Here is a 14,058-nt window from a genome sequence, read left to right as displayed (position 1 = left end):
GGTTTCTCCATGTTGGTCAGGCTGGTCTCGAACTCCGGATCTCAGGTGATCCGCCCGCCTAAGCTTCCCAAACTGCTGGGATTACAGGCATGAGCCAAAGCGCCCGGTCCTTATTTAACCTCTTGTTGCTCCTTCTCCCCAATCTTTTGATCGTCCTCAATCTCTACATATTACCGCCTCTTATCTCTGCGTCTCCTCTGCTCTCCCTGTTAAATTCTCTCTTCCCTGTTACGCCCCCCTGTCCCCACTCTCTAGCACCCCAGATCCCCCGGTGTCCTCCCTGCTGTGTTTCTCCCTCTGTTCTCATTGCCACCAGCACCACTCTGCGGGTTTGGGGTAAGACACCCGCATCGCGGAGAAGCGCATTTTCCGGAGGGTGGAGCTGGGCAGGCAAGAATACCCGGTGTCATAGGACAAGCCGCTGGGACCTGCCCTACGCTGGTTCAGGGGAAGCGGTGACTGCGAAGGGAAGAATTGGGGAGCAGCAGGGCCCACCACGAGGGGGGATGTAGGGGGCGACGGCGCCTTAAGACAAGGGTGGCACCTGCAGAATTCCAGGACCAGGCAGAAGACGCAGCCTCCCCAGGACTGGGGACACAGCGCTTCGCTCCAGGGGCCGAAGACGGAGAGGCTGGGAGGCGCCCAGGGCGGGAATCCACCTCGCGGGTCGGGGACTTTAAAAAGAACGGGGTGGGTGGAGTCAGCACAGGGTTTTGACCAGGAAAACTAAGCGACAGGAAGTGTATACACTGCCCTATAGCAGAAAGACCGGGGTTGGGACCAGCCTCCGGACGAGTTCAAACCCAAAAGCAAGCAACTTCCGGACTCTTACGGGGACATCTCAATTTGCTCTGGATGAAGGAAGACAGGCGAGAATTTCCAGGTCCGTGGGGACCCCACTTTCCAGGGACAGACGCGCCAGGGACCTGGGAAGCGCAAACTTAATACAAGGCAGAGCAAAACTCACGCGCCGCGGTACGACCTTCACTCCACGCGATCCGCCTCGGGGTTTGCGCGCCCAGGACTGAAGCCAGGCCTGGGCGGGGCCGGCGAACAGTTTGGCGGGGCCTGGGCGGGGTAGAGGCGGGGCGCGAGGCAGAGAGACCTTGCCCTTTAGAACCGACAGAGGGCGGGGCCGGGGCGGGACCTGTGCATCCCTCCGCCTCGCACCCAGCGCCTGTTTTTTTCGGTGTTTGGAGGTGAGAGCGGCCAGGAAGGCTGAAGCATGATTCAAAAGCCCTGGAATTGTCTGGAACGGGCATGCAAACTAAAATGTGAAATGCAAAGCCCTGCCGGGGCGGAATATACGATTTCATGCTGATGGCCCACAGAACATAACAGAAATCCTCCCCCTTTCTATTCTCCATTCATTCAGGAGGGAGGGTCCACCCTGTGCTCAGCTTCAGAGACTTCCCTAGGGCCTCCGCCTGGGATGCGGGACGGAGTGCTCAGGCCAGGGAGGAGTGAGGTCACCACCTGCTGCCTAAACACAGCAGGGATGCGGGCACGGGGCGGAAGCCTGAGGTCCCAGCTACTCAGGAAGCAGCGGCGGGAGAATCGCTGAACCTGGGGGTCCAGGCCAGCCTGGGTGACAAAGTAACACCCCCTCCCGCAGGGCTCCCTCCCTCGTCTCTCCCTCGCTCTTTTCCTTTTCTCTCTTTTTTTTTTTTTTTTTTTTTTTTTGAGACGGAGTCTCGCTCTGTCACCCAGGCTGGAGTGCAGTGGCACGATTTTGGCTCACTGCAAGCTCCGCCTCCCGGGTTCACGCAATTCTCCTGCCTCAGCCTTTGGAGTAACTGGGACTACAGGCGCCCACCACGACGCTCGGCTAATTTTTTGTATTTTTAGTAGAGATGGGGTTTCACCATGTTAGCCAGGATGGTCTTGATCTCCTGACCTTGTGATCCGCCCACCTCAGCCTCCCAAACTGCTAGGATTACAGATGTGATCCACCCCGCCCAGCCTTTTTTTTTTTAACCCGTTTTTAAATAAAATTTTTCATGGTGTGACATAGAGATCCAATATTATTCTTTTCCATGTAAATATCCAGTTAGTTGTCCCAGCACATTTGTGAAAGAGATCTATTACTTTCTCTTTTTTTACTTTTTTCTTTCCTTTTATTTTTGAGACAGAGTATTTCTCTGTGGCCCATGCTGGGGTGCAGTTGCGAGATCGTGGCTCACTGCAGCCTCTGCCTCCTGGGTTGAAGCTATTCTTCTGCCTCAGCCTTTCGAGTAGCTGGTATTACAAGCGCACACGACCATGCCCAGCTAACTTTCATATTTTTGGTAGAGACGGGGTTTCACCATGTTGGCCAGGCTGGTCTAGAACCCTGACTTCAAGTGATCCGCCAGCCTCGGCCTCCCAAAGTGCTGGGATTACACTCGTGAGTCACCATGCCTGGCCCAGGAAATATTCTTTACTTCACTTTTTAAATGTGAGAAAATATAATTGAAAAACAAAGAGTCTTCCCCCAAATGAGAAATCATCTCCACGACGATAATAGAGAAAGAAAGAAAAACTACTTCATTAATAAATAAGCTTTAGACCAGAATGTGATGGGAAATAGAGGCAAACAGCTAAGAGGTTGAAAAGAGAGAAAGAAACTTCAGTGTTCTATACAACCCATTAAGGACATGTTTTCAAGATAAACAGTAATCAGTCCTCAGGGAAGAGGACTTGAAAAGCCCTTGGTCACACATAGTTCATCCTGGCTCTACTTGGTAATGGAGGTGACCATCTCTGTCAGCTAACAAGCTTCATCCCGAGGGAGGGGGAGAAACCCTAACACTAAGCCTAATACAAAAATTAGCTGGGCATGGTGGCAGGCGCCTGTAATTTCTCTCTATTTTTAGTAGAGACAGGGTTTCACCACGCTAGCCAAGCTGGTTTTGAAATCCTGACCTCAAGTGATCCGGAAGCCTCGGCCTCCCAAAGTGTTGTGATTACAGGCTTGAGCCATGACAGTCAGCCAGGAAAACTCCTAGAAGTTGCACCTGCATTCCACTAGACTCTGGTTGCATGACCACATTCCTCTCAAGGCTCAGAATTATTTAAATGTCCATAGCTTTAAATTGGAATCATTTGATGTTTGAATTACTTAATTTCCTACTGAGACACAGGTACAATCTATCTTGTTGCTTGCCTTTTTTTTTTTTTTTTTTTTTTTTGGAGACGGAGTCTCACTTTGTCACCCAGGCTACAGTGCAGTGGCACAATCTTGGCTCACTGCAACCTCTGCCTCTCAGGTTCAAACAATTTTCCTGAGTAGCTGGGACTACAGGCATGTGCCACCATGCCCGGCTAATTTCTTCGTATTTTTAGTAGAGACAGGGTTTCAACATGTTTGTCAGGCGGTGTCGAACTCCTGACCTCGGGATTGACCCGCCTTGGCCTCCCAAAGTGCTGGGATTACAGGCGTGAGCCACTGCGCGTGGCTGTTGTTTGCCTTTCAAGGAGCTCCCAAGTTCTTCAGAAATACATCCCTGGGCCGGGCGCAGTGGCTCACACCTGTAATCCCAGTACTTTGGAAGGCCAAGGCTGGAGAATCATCTGATATCAGAAGTTCAAGACCAGCCTGGCCAACATGGTGAAACCCCGTCTCTACAAAACTATAAAAATTAGCCAGGCATTATAGCGGGTGCCTGTAGTCCCAGCTACTCTGGAAGTTGAAGCAGTAGAATCTCATGTACCTGGGAGATGGAAATTGCAGTGAGCCGAGATCGCACCATTTAACTCCAGCCTGGGCAACAAGAGCGAAACTGTGTCTCCGTTGGAAAGGAAAGAAAAGAAAACAACAGAAAAGGAAATAAAAGAAAATTAAACAAAAGAAAAGAAAGAAAACATACTACCTCAGAAAACAGAAAATGCACTTGCAAATTTTCTAATAAATGTCCTAAGAAAAGAGATGAAAGGAAAGAAAATCTCCTTCTTTAATTTCAAAGGAGGAATTATACCTCTCATTTATTGGCTTGTTTGTTTGAGATAGGGTGTAGCTCACTCACCCAGGCTGGAGTGTGGTGGCAAAAACAGGGCTCACTGCAGCCTTCAACTCCCTGGGTCAAGTGACCCTTCCACCTTTTTCATCAAGCATTTGGAAGAGATATCTACAAAATATAAACACCAATACGTTTCCAATTAAGTCCAGAAGGTAAAACATACTGAAATGTGTAAATATGACACAAAAAACAATACTTATTTTGAACTTCCCAAACATGATCTTCAAAGTTTAGGAACACAAAAGGAGTAAGATTCTTTAATAAATACTTAATAAATACTTTACGTGTACTTCAAATCATTTCTATGGAAGCCTATTTCCAATATGACAAAACGCTGACAGGGCACAAACATGTGTAAGCCTAAAGTAAGGAGTATTTTTCCACTGTGACCCTAAAATGTATCACAGTTTGCAAAAAACATATCACTGTCACATCAATGAAAAGTATAGATCCTTCATATTTACACAATATCTACTGTACACAAATAAATCCTAAAAGACCACACAATATATTATATTGGTAAATAATCCACCAGAAGCTTATGTAAGGGTAACCAAAATCAATTGAAATTCTGTATTATCAAATAATCGTAGCACAGAGAAGATAAGAAAAGATTCCAAAAATCAGCCAGGCGTGGTGGCGGTCACCTGTAGTCCCAGCTACTCAGGAGGCAGAGGCACAAGAATCACTTGAACCTGGGAGGCAGAGATTGCAATGAGCCAAGATTGTGCCACTGCACTCCAGCCTGAGTGACAGAGCGAGATTCCATCTCAAAAAAAAAAAAATGTTAATACAACCTTTTTCTGAATACCTGTCATAAAATTACCTAAATCCACGCAGAACAGGCACTTATTGAAATTAACAAGTGCAGTGTGTCAGTTCCATTACATATCATATACTGAAAAGCCATATGTGAAATCTTAAATATTAATCAGTAAACTATTCTAACCCATGATAAAACCAGCAAGCAAATAATAAGTACATTTATACAGCCTGCAGAATTCTAAACAATTCTCTCTCAAGAAAAAAGCCACAACTTCTACTTACCACCAGCACACACTATAAGACTGAAATACATGTTAAGATCACTACCTTCTGATGTATGAGTTCAAGTAAATACACAGCATTAAAAGGAATAAGAACTGACTAACAGTGTCAGAGGGTGCAATTACAATGTCACAAGTACAGTTACATAACACCAGGCAATACAGCAATTTTATATATATTCATTGCCCTTAGTTATCTAGTTACTGTGTGTAAAATATAAAACATAGAATGTGTACTGGGAAAATTTATAAACTGAGATCACAGAAAACATTGTATAAAACAAATTGCACAATAAAAACATCAAAAATATGATGCAGACTTCCTGGTCTGAATGTTTATATTGGCCAAAAGCGATGTTCAGAGTTCTTATTGTCCAATAGGATGTTCCTGCAGATGGTGCCTGTGAGAGAATTTGGTCATGCGTGTTGACTACACGTGAATACGTCTGCTTTTATTTTTATTATTAATTAATTAATTAATTTATTTATTTATTGAGATGGAGTTTCCCTCTTGCTGCCCAGGCTGGAGTGCAATGGCGCGATCTTGGCTCACCACAACCTTTGCCTCCCAGGTTCAAGCAATTCTCCTGCCTCAGCCTCCCGAGTAGCTGAGATTACAGCCACGCGCCACCACACCTACACACTAATTTTGTAGTTTTATAGAGACCGGGTTTCTCTATATTGGTCAGGCTGGTCTCGAACCCCTGACCTCAGGTGATTCGCCCACATCAGCCTTCCAAAGTGCTGGAATTACAAGTGTGAGCCACCGAACATGGCCAGGACTACTGCTTATATAAAGGGAGACATTAAAGAGCTGATTGCTATTTCTTTTTTTGTTTTTTTGAGACCAAGTCACACTCTGTCACTCAGCTTGCAGTGTAGTGGCATGATTCTCCTGCCTAAAGAGATTCTCCTGCTTCAGCCTCCTGAGTAGATGGGACTACAGACGCATGCCACCACCCTTGGCTAATTTTTCTTTTTTTGGGGGGCGGGGAGACGGAGTCTCACTCTGTCACCCAGGCTGGAGTGCAGTAGTGTGATCATGGCTCACTGCAACCTCTGCCTCCCAGCCGGGTCCAAGTAATTCTCCTGCCTCAGCCTCCGGAGTAGGTGAAATTAGAGGCGTATGTCTACATGGCCAGCTAATTTTTGTATTTTTGGTAGAGACGGGGTTTCACCATGTAGGCCAGGTTGGTCTCGAGCTCCTGGCCTTCAGTGATTTGCTCCCAAAGTGCTGGGATTACAGGAATGAGCCACCAGGCCCAACTTTGATGTTCCTTACTTTTTCTTTCTCTCTTTTTTTTTGTCAGATGGAGTCTAGCTCCGTTGCCCAGCCTGGCATGCAGTGATGCAATCTCGGCTCACTGCAACCTCTGCTTCCCGGGTTCAAGTAATTCTCCTGCCTCAGCCTCCTGAGTAGCTGGGATTACAGGCATCTGCCACCATGCCTGGCTAATTTTTGTATTTTTTAGTAGAGATTGAGTTTCACTGTGTCAGCCAGGCTGGTCTTGAACTCCTGACCTCATGATCCACCCACCTCTGTCTCCCAACGTGCTGGGATTACAGGCGTGAGCCACCATGCCTTGATGTCCCTTTTAAAAACTACTATGGGTTGAGAGTGGTGGCTCACGCCAGGAATCCCAGCACTTTGGGAGGCCGAGGCAGCGGGTCACTTGAGGTAGGGAGTTAAAGACCAGCCTGGACCAACATGAAGAAACCTCGTCTCTACTAAAAACACAAAATTAGCCAGGCATGGTGGTGCATGCCTGTACTCCCAACTACTCTGGAGAGTGAGGCAGTAGAATTGTTTGAAGCCAGGGAGCGGAGGTTGTGGTGAGCTGAGATCATGCCATCGCACGCTAGCCTGGGCAAAAAGAACAAAACTCCCTCTCAAAAAAAAGGGGGGGGCTATGTAGGCCAGACGCGGTGGGCCATCCCTGTAATCCCACCTGTAATCCCAGTAATTTGGGAGGCCAAGGCAGGAGGACCCTTTGACCCCAGGGTTTTGAGAACAGCCTGGGAAACATAGTGAAACCACGTTTCTACAAAAAAAAAAAATATATATATATATATATATGTAAACTAGCTGGGCTTGGTGGCTCATGCCTCTGGTCCCAGCTACTCAGAAGGCTGAGGTAGGAGGATCACTTGAGTCCAAGAGGTAGAGGCTACAGTTAGAGGATCACGCCACTGCACTCCAGCCTGTGTGATACAGCCAGACCCTGACTCAAAATATCATTTAATTAATTAAATTAAAAGTATTATGTAATAACAGACAGCGACTTTTTTCCCACTTCTCTACCCCACATCCTCCCAATCCTAGGAAAAGGGAAGACAGTGATTCACAACTGAATAAGTCACTTCCCTCTGGTTGAATAGGGATTCCAAGTGGAACATAACCTCTGATGCCAAGATTTATAGAATGTACATGTTTTATAGACACCAATTTTAAAATTCTCAATCTGTATAATTTAAACAAGTTTTTAGTTATTAGATTATATACAGGGAAGTCAACATGTCACAACTAATCATATCCAATGAACTCATCCACTGATCTAAACCCAGTCTCTCGCCCCATTTTTTCTTTTGAGACAAGATCTCGCTCTGTTGACCAGGCTGCAGTGTAGTGGCATGATCTCAGTTCACTGCAGCCTGGACCTCCTGAGCTCAAGTCATCCTCCTACCTCCACCTCCAGAGCAGCTGGGAGTACAGGTGCACACGATTATGCCCCGTTATTTCCTTTTTTTTTTTTTTGGCAGAGATAGGGGTCTCACTATGTTGCCCAGGCTGGTCTCGAACTCCTAGACTCAAGCAATTCTCTTGCTTCAGTCTCCTAAAGTGTGGAGACTACAGGCGTGAGCCACTGTGCCTAGCCCCCCTTTCTTCATTACTGCGCTTCCCTCCCTAATTCTGTACATATCTCTCATTCTCCCCCTTCTCTCTCTAGCTCTTGTTTTCTTTTCTTTCTCCCTGGGATTCTGCTCTTCATTTTGTACCCCTCTTCTCTTCTGCTGTTTATCCCCCTTCTTCCCTCTATTCCTTCTCTTCCATCTCTTCTGCTCCATCCTCGCAACTTATTTAACCTCTTATTGCTCCTTCTCCCCAATCTTTCAATCGTCCTCAATCTCCATCTATTTCTGCCTCTTCACCCATCTCTGCGCCTCCTCTGCTCTCCCTGTTAAATTCTCTCTTCCCTGATATACTCCCCTGTCCCCACTCTGTGTCACCCCAGATCCCCAGGTGTCCTCCCTGCTGTGTTTCTCCCTCGGTTCTCCTTGACACCAGCACCACTCTGCTCTGTCTGCCCTGGCTCCAAATCCCTCCCTCTCTCCCTCACTCTGATGAGCCTCCCTCTTTGCTGCCACTCTCCCTACCTTGCCGTCCTTCATCTCTGTGTACATCTAGCTTTTCTCTACATTTCTCCAGTTGCTTTTCTCCACCTGCTTTTCTAGGTATTTTGTTGCTTTCTTTTTCCACTTTCACCATATCTTGGCATATCCCTCACCAATCCTCTATTTTGCCATCTGTTATGGGCCTTTCTTATTCTTTCTCTGTCTCAGGTTTTCTACTGCTGTCTGTCTCCTGATCCCTTCGGCCCACACAATCGCAGGAGGGTTTGGAGTAAGACGCCTGCATCCCGGAGGAGCGCGTTTTCCAAGGGCTGGAGCTCGGCAGGCAAGAAGACCCCATGTCACAGGACAGGGCCCTGCGTCCTTCCCAGTGTGGGTTCAATGGAAGCGGTGACTGCGGAGGAGAGACCTGGGGAGCCGCAGGCTCTGGCACGAGTAGGGAGGTGGGAGGAGGGGGGACGGCGCCTTGGGAGAAGGATGGGGTCTGCAAGATCCCAGGACCAGGCAGAGGACGCGGCCTCCCTGGGACTGGGGCTGCGGCGCGACGCTCCAGGGGCCGACGAGGGGTGGCTGGGAGGTGCGCCCCGGGCAAGAATCCACCTCGTGGGTGAAGACTTTAAATAGCGCGAGGAGGGAAGAGTCAGAAGAAGGTTTTGAGCAGAAAAACTACGCAATAGAAAGTGTATACATTGCCCTATAGCAGACAGACCCGGGACGGGACCAGCCTCCAGACGACTTTAAACCCGAAAGGAAGCGACACCCGGCCTCTCACTGGGCTGTCTCAATTTGCTCTGGGCGAAGGAAGACGGGCGAGAATTTCCAGGTCTGTGGGGACCCCACGTCCCAGGGACAGAAGCGGCGGGGACCTGGGAAGCGGAGACTTAATGCAACACAGAGCAAAACTCACCATGGCGACGTGACCTTCACTCCACCCGATCCGCTTCCGGGTTTGCGTTAATCTCCGCGCGCAGGACGGAAGCCAGGCCTGGGCGGGAGGTGGGAGGAGGTGGGCGGGGCCTGGGCGAGGTAGCGGCGGGGCGCGAGGCGCTGAGACCTTGCCCTTTAGAACCGGCAGAGGGCGGGGCCGGGGCGGGGCCGGGGCGGGACTTGCGCGTCTTTCAGCCTCTCTCCTAGCGTCTCTGTTTTTAGGTTGTGGAGGCGAGAGCGCCAGAAAGTCTGAGGCATGATTCCAAAGCCCTGGAATTGTCTGGAACCGGGATGCAAACTAGAATGTGAAATGCAAAGCCCTGCCTGGGCGGCATGTACGATGTCATGGTGACGGCCCACGGAACAGAATAGATGTCCTCTCCCTTTCTATCTCCATTCACTAGGGAGGGAGAGTCCACCCTGAGCTCAGCTTCAGAGACTTCCTTAAAGCCACCGCCAGGGGTGCGGGACGGAGTGCTTAGGCCAGGAAGGAGTGAGGTCACCACCTGCTGCTTAAACACAGCAGAGGCGCGGGGGCGGGAGCCTCAGGTCCCAGCTACTCAGGAAGCAACGGAGAGAATTGCTGAGCCTGGGGTCCCAAGCCAGCCTGGGCGACAAAGTAACACCCACTGCGGCAGGTCTCCCTTCCTAGTCTCTCTCTCTCTCTTTCCCTTTTTTTTTTTTTGGAGACAGAGTCTCACTCCGTCGCCCAGGCTGGAGTGCCGTGGAGTGATCCCAGCTCACTAGAACTTCCGCCTCCTGGTTTCAAGCGATACTCCGGCCTCAGCCTCCCGAGTAGCTGGGACTACAGGCATGCGCCACCATGCCCAGTTAATTTTGTATATTTAGTAGAGACAGGGTTTCACCATGTTAGCCAGGCTGAACTCCCGACCTCAGGTGATCCGCCCACGTCGGCCTCCCAAAGTGCTGGGATTACAGGCGTGAGCCACCGCGCCCGGGCCTTTTCCCTTTTTAAAAAAAAAAAAAAAACTTTTTTAAATAAAATTTTTGATGGTGTGACATAGGGATCCAACATTACTCTTTTCCATGTGGATATCCAGTTAGTTGTCCCAGCACATTTGTGGAAGAGATCTATTACTTTATTATTATTATTATTATTATTACTATTATTGAGACACAGTATTTCTGTTGCCCAGGCTGGAGTGCAGTGGCGAGATCTCAACTCAATGCAGCCTCTGCCTCCTGGGTTCAAGCGATTCTCCTGCCTCAGCCTCGGGAGCAGCTGGCATTACAGGCGCGTGCCACGATGCCCGGTTAATTTTTGTATTTTTCATAGAGACGGGGTATCACTACGGTGACCTGGCCGGTATCGAACTCCTCACTTTAAGTTATTTGCCTGTGTCAGCCTCCCAAAATGCTGGGATTACATGCGTCAGCCAACATGCCTGGCCCAAGAAATATTCTTTACTTTGCTTTTTAAATGTTGACAAAATATAATTGAAAACTAAAAAATATTATCCCAAATGAGAAATCATCTCCACGACGATAACAGAGAAAGAAATAAAAACCATTTTGTTAATAAATAAACCTTAGGACCGGGCATGGGGGCTCACGCTTGTAATCCCAGCACTTTGGGAGGCTGAAGCAGGCGGATCACGAGGTCAGGAGATCGAGGTCATCCTGGCTAACATGGTGAAACCCCGTCTCTACTAAAAATACAAAAAAATTAGCCAGGTGTGGTGGCGTGCACCTGTGTCCCAGCTGCTGGGGAGGCTGAGGCAGGAGAATGGCGTGAACCCAGGAGGCGGAGCTGGCAGTGAGCCAAGATAGCACCACTGCACTCCAGCCTGGGTGACAGAGCAAGACTCGGTCTCAAAAAAAACAAAAAAAAAAAATCAGCCGGGCGTGGTGCCCAGCGCCTGTAGTCCCAGCTACTCGGAGAGGCTGAGGCAGAAGAATGGCGTGAACCCAGAAGGCGGAGCTTGCAATGAGCCGAGATCGCACCATTGCACTCTAGCCTGGGCGACAGAAGAGATTCCGTCTCTAAATAAATAAATCAATAAGCCTTGACCAGAATGTGATGGGAAATAGAGGCAAACAGCTAAGAGGTTGAAAAGAGAGAAAGAAACTTCACTGTTCTATACAACCCATTAAGGACATATTTTCAAGATAAACACTAATCAGTCCTCAGGGAAGAGGACTTGACAACACCCTTGGTCGCACATAGTTCATCCTGGCTCTACTTGGTAATGGAGGTGACCATCTGTGTCAGCTAACTAGCTTCATCCCGAGGGAGGGGAAGAAACCCTAACCCATGTCTTTTTGGCAAGTTTGAGTTTTACAACATGGCGACAGGTGCCCTCTCTGGTCAGGCGCCTACCATACGACAGAAATTGATGTCAGCAGTAAATAATAAAATTTAAAATATATGATTAAGTACAGAGTTAATGTGAACACAAAGCTTGAAGAAAGCCACCTGGAAACATCAACTCCAAATAAATGGGATCAGCGTTCCAAAGTAGAGACGTTAAGGTTTCACACACAGGGAAAGACAGAGATGCTTTAGCAGAATCACCACGTTTTCCATTCAAGACCAGTGCATAGGTTGCAGCAAGTTGATTGGTGATGGATTGATACACTTCAAGGAAGGTTACTTTATCACTGCGTAAGAAGGCACAATGCTCTGAGGAGGTCATATCGCTGGGGCTGCTTAGTCTTCCTAATTATTTTTTTTATTTTTATTGCTATTTATGTATTTATTTTGAGATGGAGAATCGCTCTGTCGCCAGGATGGAGTACAGTGGCGCAATCTCGGCTCACTGCAACCTCCGACTCCCTATGCTCATGGCTCAGCCTCCAGAATAGACGGTACTAGAGGCATGCACCAACATGCCCAGCTAATTTTTGTATTTTTATTAGGGACGGGGTTTCACCATGTTGGCCAGTATGATCTCTGTCTCCTGACCTCGTGATCTGCCAGCCTCAGTCTCCCAAAGTGCTGAGATGACAGGCGTGAGCCACTGTGCATGGCCAGTTTTCCAAATTATTTACAGGAAAACTCTTAGAAGTTGCGCCTGCATTCCACTGGACTCTGGTTGCATGACCACATTCCTCTCAAGGCTCAGAATTATTTAAATATCCATTGCTTTAAATTGGAATCACTTGATGTTTGAATAATTTAATTTCCTACTGAGACACAAGTGCTATCTCTGTTGTTGGTTGCCTTTCAAAGAGAGCTCCCAAGTCCTTCGGAAATACATCCCTGGGTCATTAAGCTAAAAAACAGTTTAGTTCTTTTCTAAAAAAATTCCACTTCTGGTCGAGTGCAGCGGCTCACACCTGTAATCCCAGCACTTTGGGAGGCAGAGGCGGGCGGATCGCCTGAGGTCAGGAGTTTGAGACCAGTCTGACCAACACGGAAAAACCCTTCTCTACTAAAAATACGAAATTAACCGGGCGTGGCGGCACATGCGTGCAATCCCAGCTACTCGGGAGGCAGAGGCAGGAGAATGGCTTGAACCCGGGAGATGGAGGCTGCAGTGAACGGAGATCACGCCATTCCACTCCAGCGTGGGCTACAAGCGCGAAACTCTGTCTCAAATAACATACCGCTTCAGAAGACAGAGAAAATTCATTTACACATTTTCTAAATAAATATCCTAAGAAAAGAGACTACATGAAAGAAAATCTCTTCCTTTATTTTTGAAGGAGGAATTACGCCTCTCACTTATTTGCTTGCTTGTTTGAGACGGGGTCTAGCTCTGTCATCCAAGTTGGAGTGTGCTGGCAAGATCAGGGCTCAGTGCAGCGTCCAACTCCCTGGCTCAAGTGATGTTTTCTTTTTTTTTTTTTTTTTTTTTTTTTTTTTTTTTTTTTTGAGACGGAGTCTCGCTCTGTCGCCCAGGCTTGAGTGCAGTGGCGGGATCTCGGCTCACCAAAACCTCCGCCTCCCGGGTTCGAGCGATTCTCCTGCCTCAGCCTCCCGAGTAGGTGGGATTGCAAGCATGGGCCACCATGCTCAGCTAATTTTTTTGTGTTTTTAGTAGAGACGGAGTTTCTCCTTGTTGGTAAGGCTGGTCTCGAACTCCCGACCTCAGGTGATCTGCCCGTCTCAGCCTCCCAAAGTGCTGGGATTACAGGCGTGAGCCACTGCGCCCGGCCTCAAGTGATGTTTTCATCTCAGCGCCCCGAGCAGCTGAGAACACAGGTGTGCACCACCACATCTGGCTGATTTTTTTTTTATTTTTAGTAGAGACGAGGTCTCACTATTATGCCCTGGCTGATCACACACTCCTGGGTTCAAGCAATCCTCCCACCTCGGCCTCTGAAAGTGCTGGGATGACAGATGTGATCCACCGCTCCGAGTTCTGGCTTTATTTCCATGAAATATGAAAATTTCCTCCACCTTTATAATAGGTGTATAATAGGCAGTTTTCCATGTCACCTTTCTATTTCCATTATCCACTCAAACAACCCAGGACCTTGCTTAGTTTACTAAGCCATTCTAATTGTCAGTCCCCTTTGTAAGCAGCGCCCCACTCCACCCCTTTACCGAGGTACCTGCCCCTGTCCCCCGTCCTGCCCCAGCCTGAGGGGAGCTCGCCCCGCCTGCAGGATGCGCGACTCTACCTGCTCAAAAAAGGCGCTTTACATTAAAACCGTTTTCAACTTCAGAGAAAAAACGATTCAGCGTTCAGTACAGTTGGCCCACTACAATATGTTGTTTTACCTTCGATTGTTTGAAATGCTAACTTAAAAAGGGCAGGAAGCATCCC

At 48.2% G+C, this 14,058-nt stretch overlaps 1 protein-coding gene across 8 annotated transcripts in view, besides 6 other annotated features; it reads right to left on the bottom strand.

The window, feature by feature from the left end:
* The window catches only part of ZNF808 (zinc finger protein 808), a 41,086-nt gene extending 31,740 nt beyond the window's left edge, over positions 1-9,346 (bottom strand). For 3 of the 8 annotated variants that reach the window (XR_002958314.2, NM_001039886.4, XM_005258909.5), the window contains exons 1-2: positions 9,303-9,346; positions 4,005-4,106 (exon numbers count right to left, since the gene is read on the bottom strand). The gene's annotated coding sequence lies outside the window, so the exon portion shown is untranslated. Of the gene's footprint in view, positions 1-967; positions 1,027-4,004; positions 4,107-9,104 lie in introns of those variants that run through there. The other 5 variants (NM_001321425.2, NM_001363550.2, NM_001321424.2 and 2 more) reach the window with 4 other exon arrangements.
* Positions 360-946: an enhancer, noted in NCBI's record as "H3K27ac-H3K4me1 hESC enhancer chr19:53039321-53039907 (GRCh37/hg19 assembly coordinates)". NCBI's record gives its function as "activates a minimal SCP1, AML or CMV promoter by ChIP-STARR-seq in naive H9 embryonic stem cells {active_cell/tissue: H9 hESC(naive)}" and the evidence as "EXISTENCE:reporter gene assay evidence [ECO:0000049][PMID:30033119]".
* Positions 360-983: a biological region, named in NCBI's record as "H3K27ac-H3K4me1 hESC enhancer GRCh37_chr19:53039321-53039907".
* Positions 494-623: an enhancer, noted in NCBI's record as "active region_15050". NCBI's record gives its function as "activates an Ori minimal core promoter by ATAC-STARR-seq in GM12878 lymphoblastoid cells {active_cell/tissue: GM12878}" and the evidence as "EXISTENCE:reporter gene assay evidence [ECO:0000049][PMID:35858748]".
* Positions 754-983: an enhancer, noted in NCBI's record as "active region_15049". NCBI's record gives its function as "activates an Ori minimal core promoter by ATAC-STARR-seq in GM12878 lymphoblastoid cells {active_cell/tissue: GM12878}" and the evidence as "EXISTENCE:reporter gene assay evidence [ECO:0000049][PMID:35858748]".
* Positions 9,073-9,900: an enhancer, noted in NCBI's record as "H3K27ac-H3K4me1 hESC enhancer chr19:53030367-53031194 (GRCh37/hg19 assembly coordinates)". NCBI's record gives its function as "activates a minimal SCP1, AML or CMV promoter by ChIP-STARR-seq in naive H9 embryonic stem cells {active_cell/tissue: H9 hESC(naive)}" and the evidence as "EXISTENCE:reporter gene assay evidence [ECO:0000049][PMID:30033119]".
* Positions 9,901-10,727: an enhancer, noted in NCBI's record as "H3K27ac-H3K4me1 hESC enhancer chr19:53029540-53030366 (GRCh37/hg19 assembly coordinates)". NCBI's record gives its function as "activates a minimal SCP1, AML or CMV promoter by ChIP-STARR-seq in naive H9 embryonic stem cells {active_cell/tissue: H9 hESC(naive)}" and the evidence as "EXISTENCE:reporter gene assay evidence [ECO:0000049][PMID:30033119]".

This window comes from Homo sapiens, chromosome 19 (genome assembly GCF_000001405.40).
Source record: "Homo sapiens chromosome 19, GRCh38.p14 Primary Assembly".
Classification (NCBI taxonomy): Eukaryota; Metazoa; Chordata; class Mammalia; order Primates; family Hominidae; genus Homo; species Homo sapiens.
This window is presented reverse-complemented; position numbering and strand designations above follow the sequence as displayed.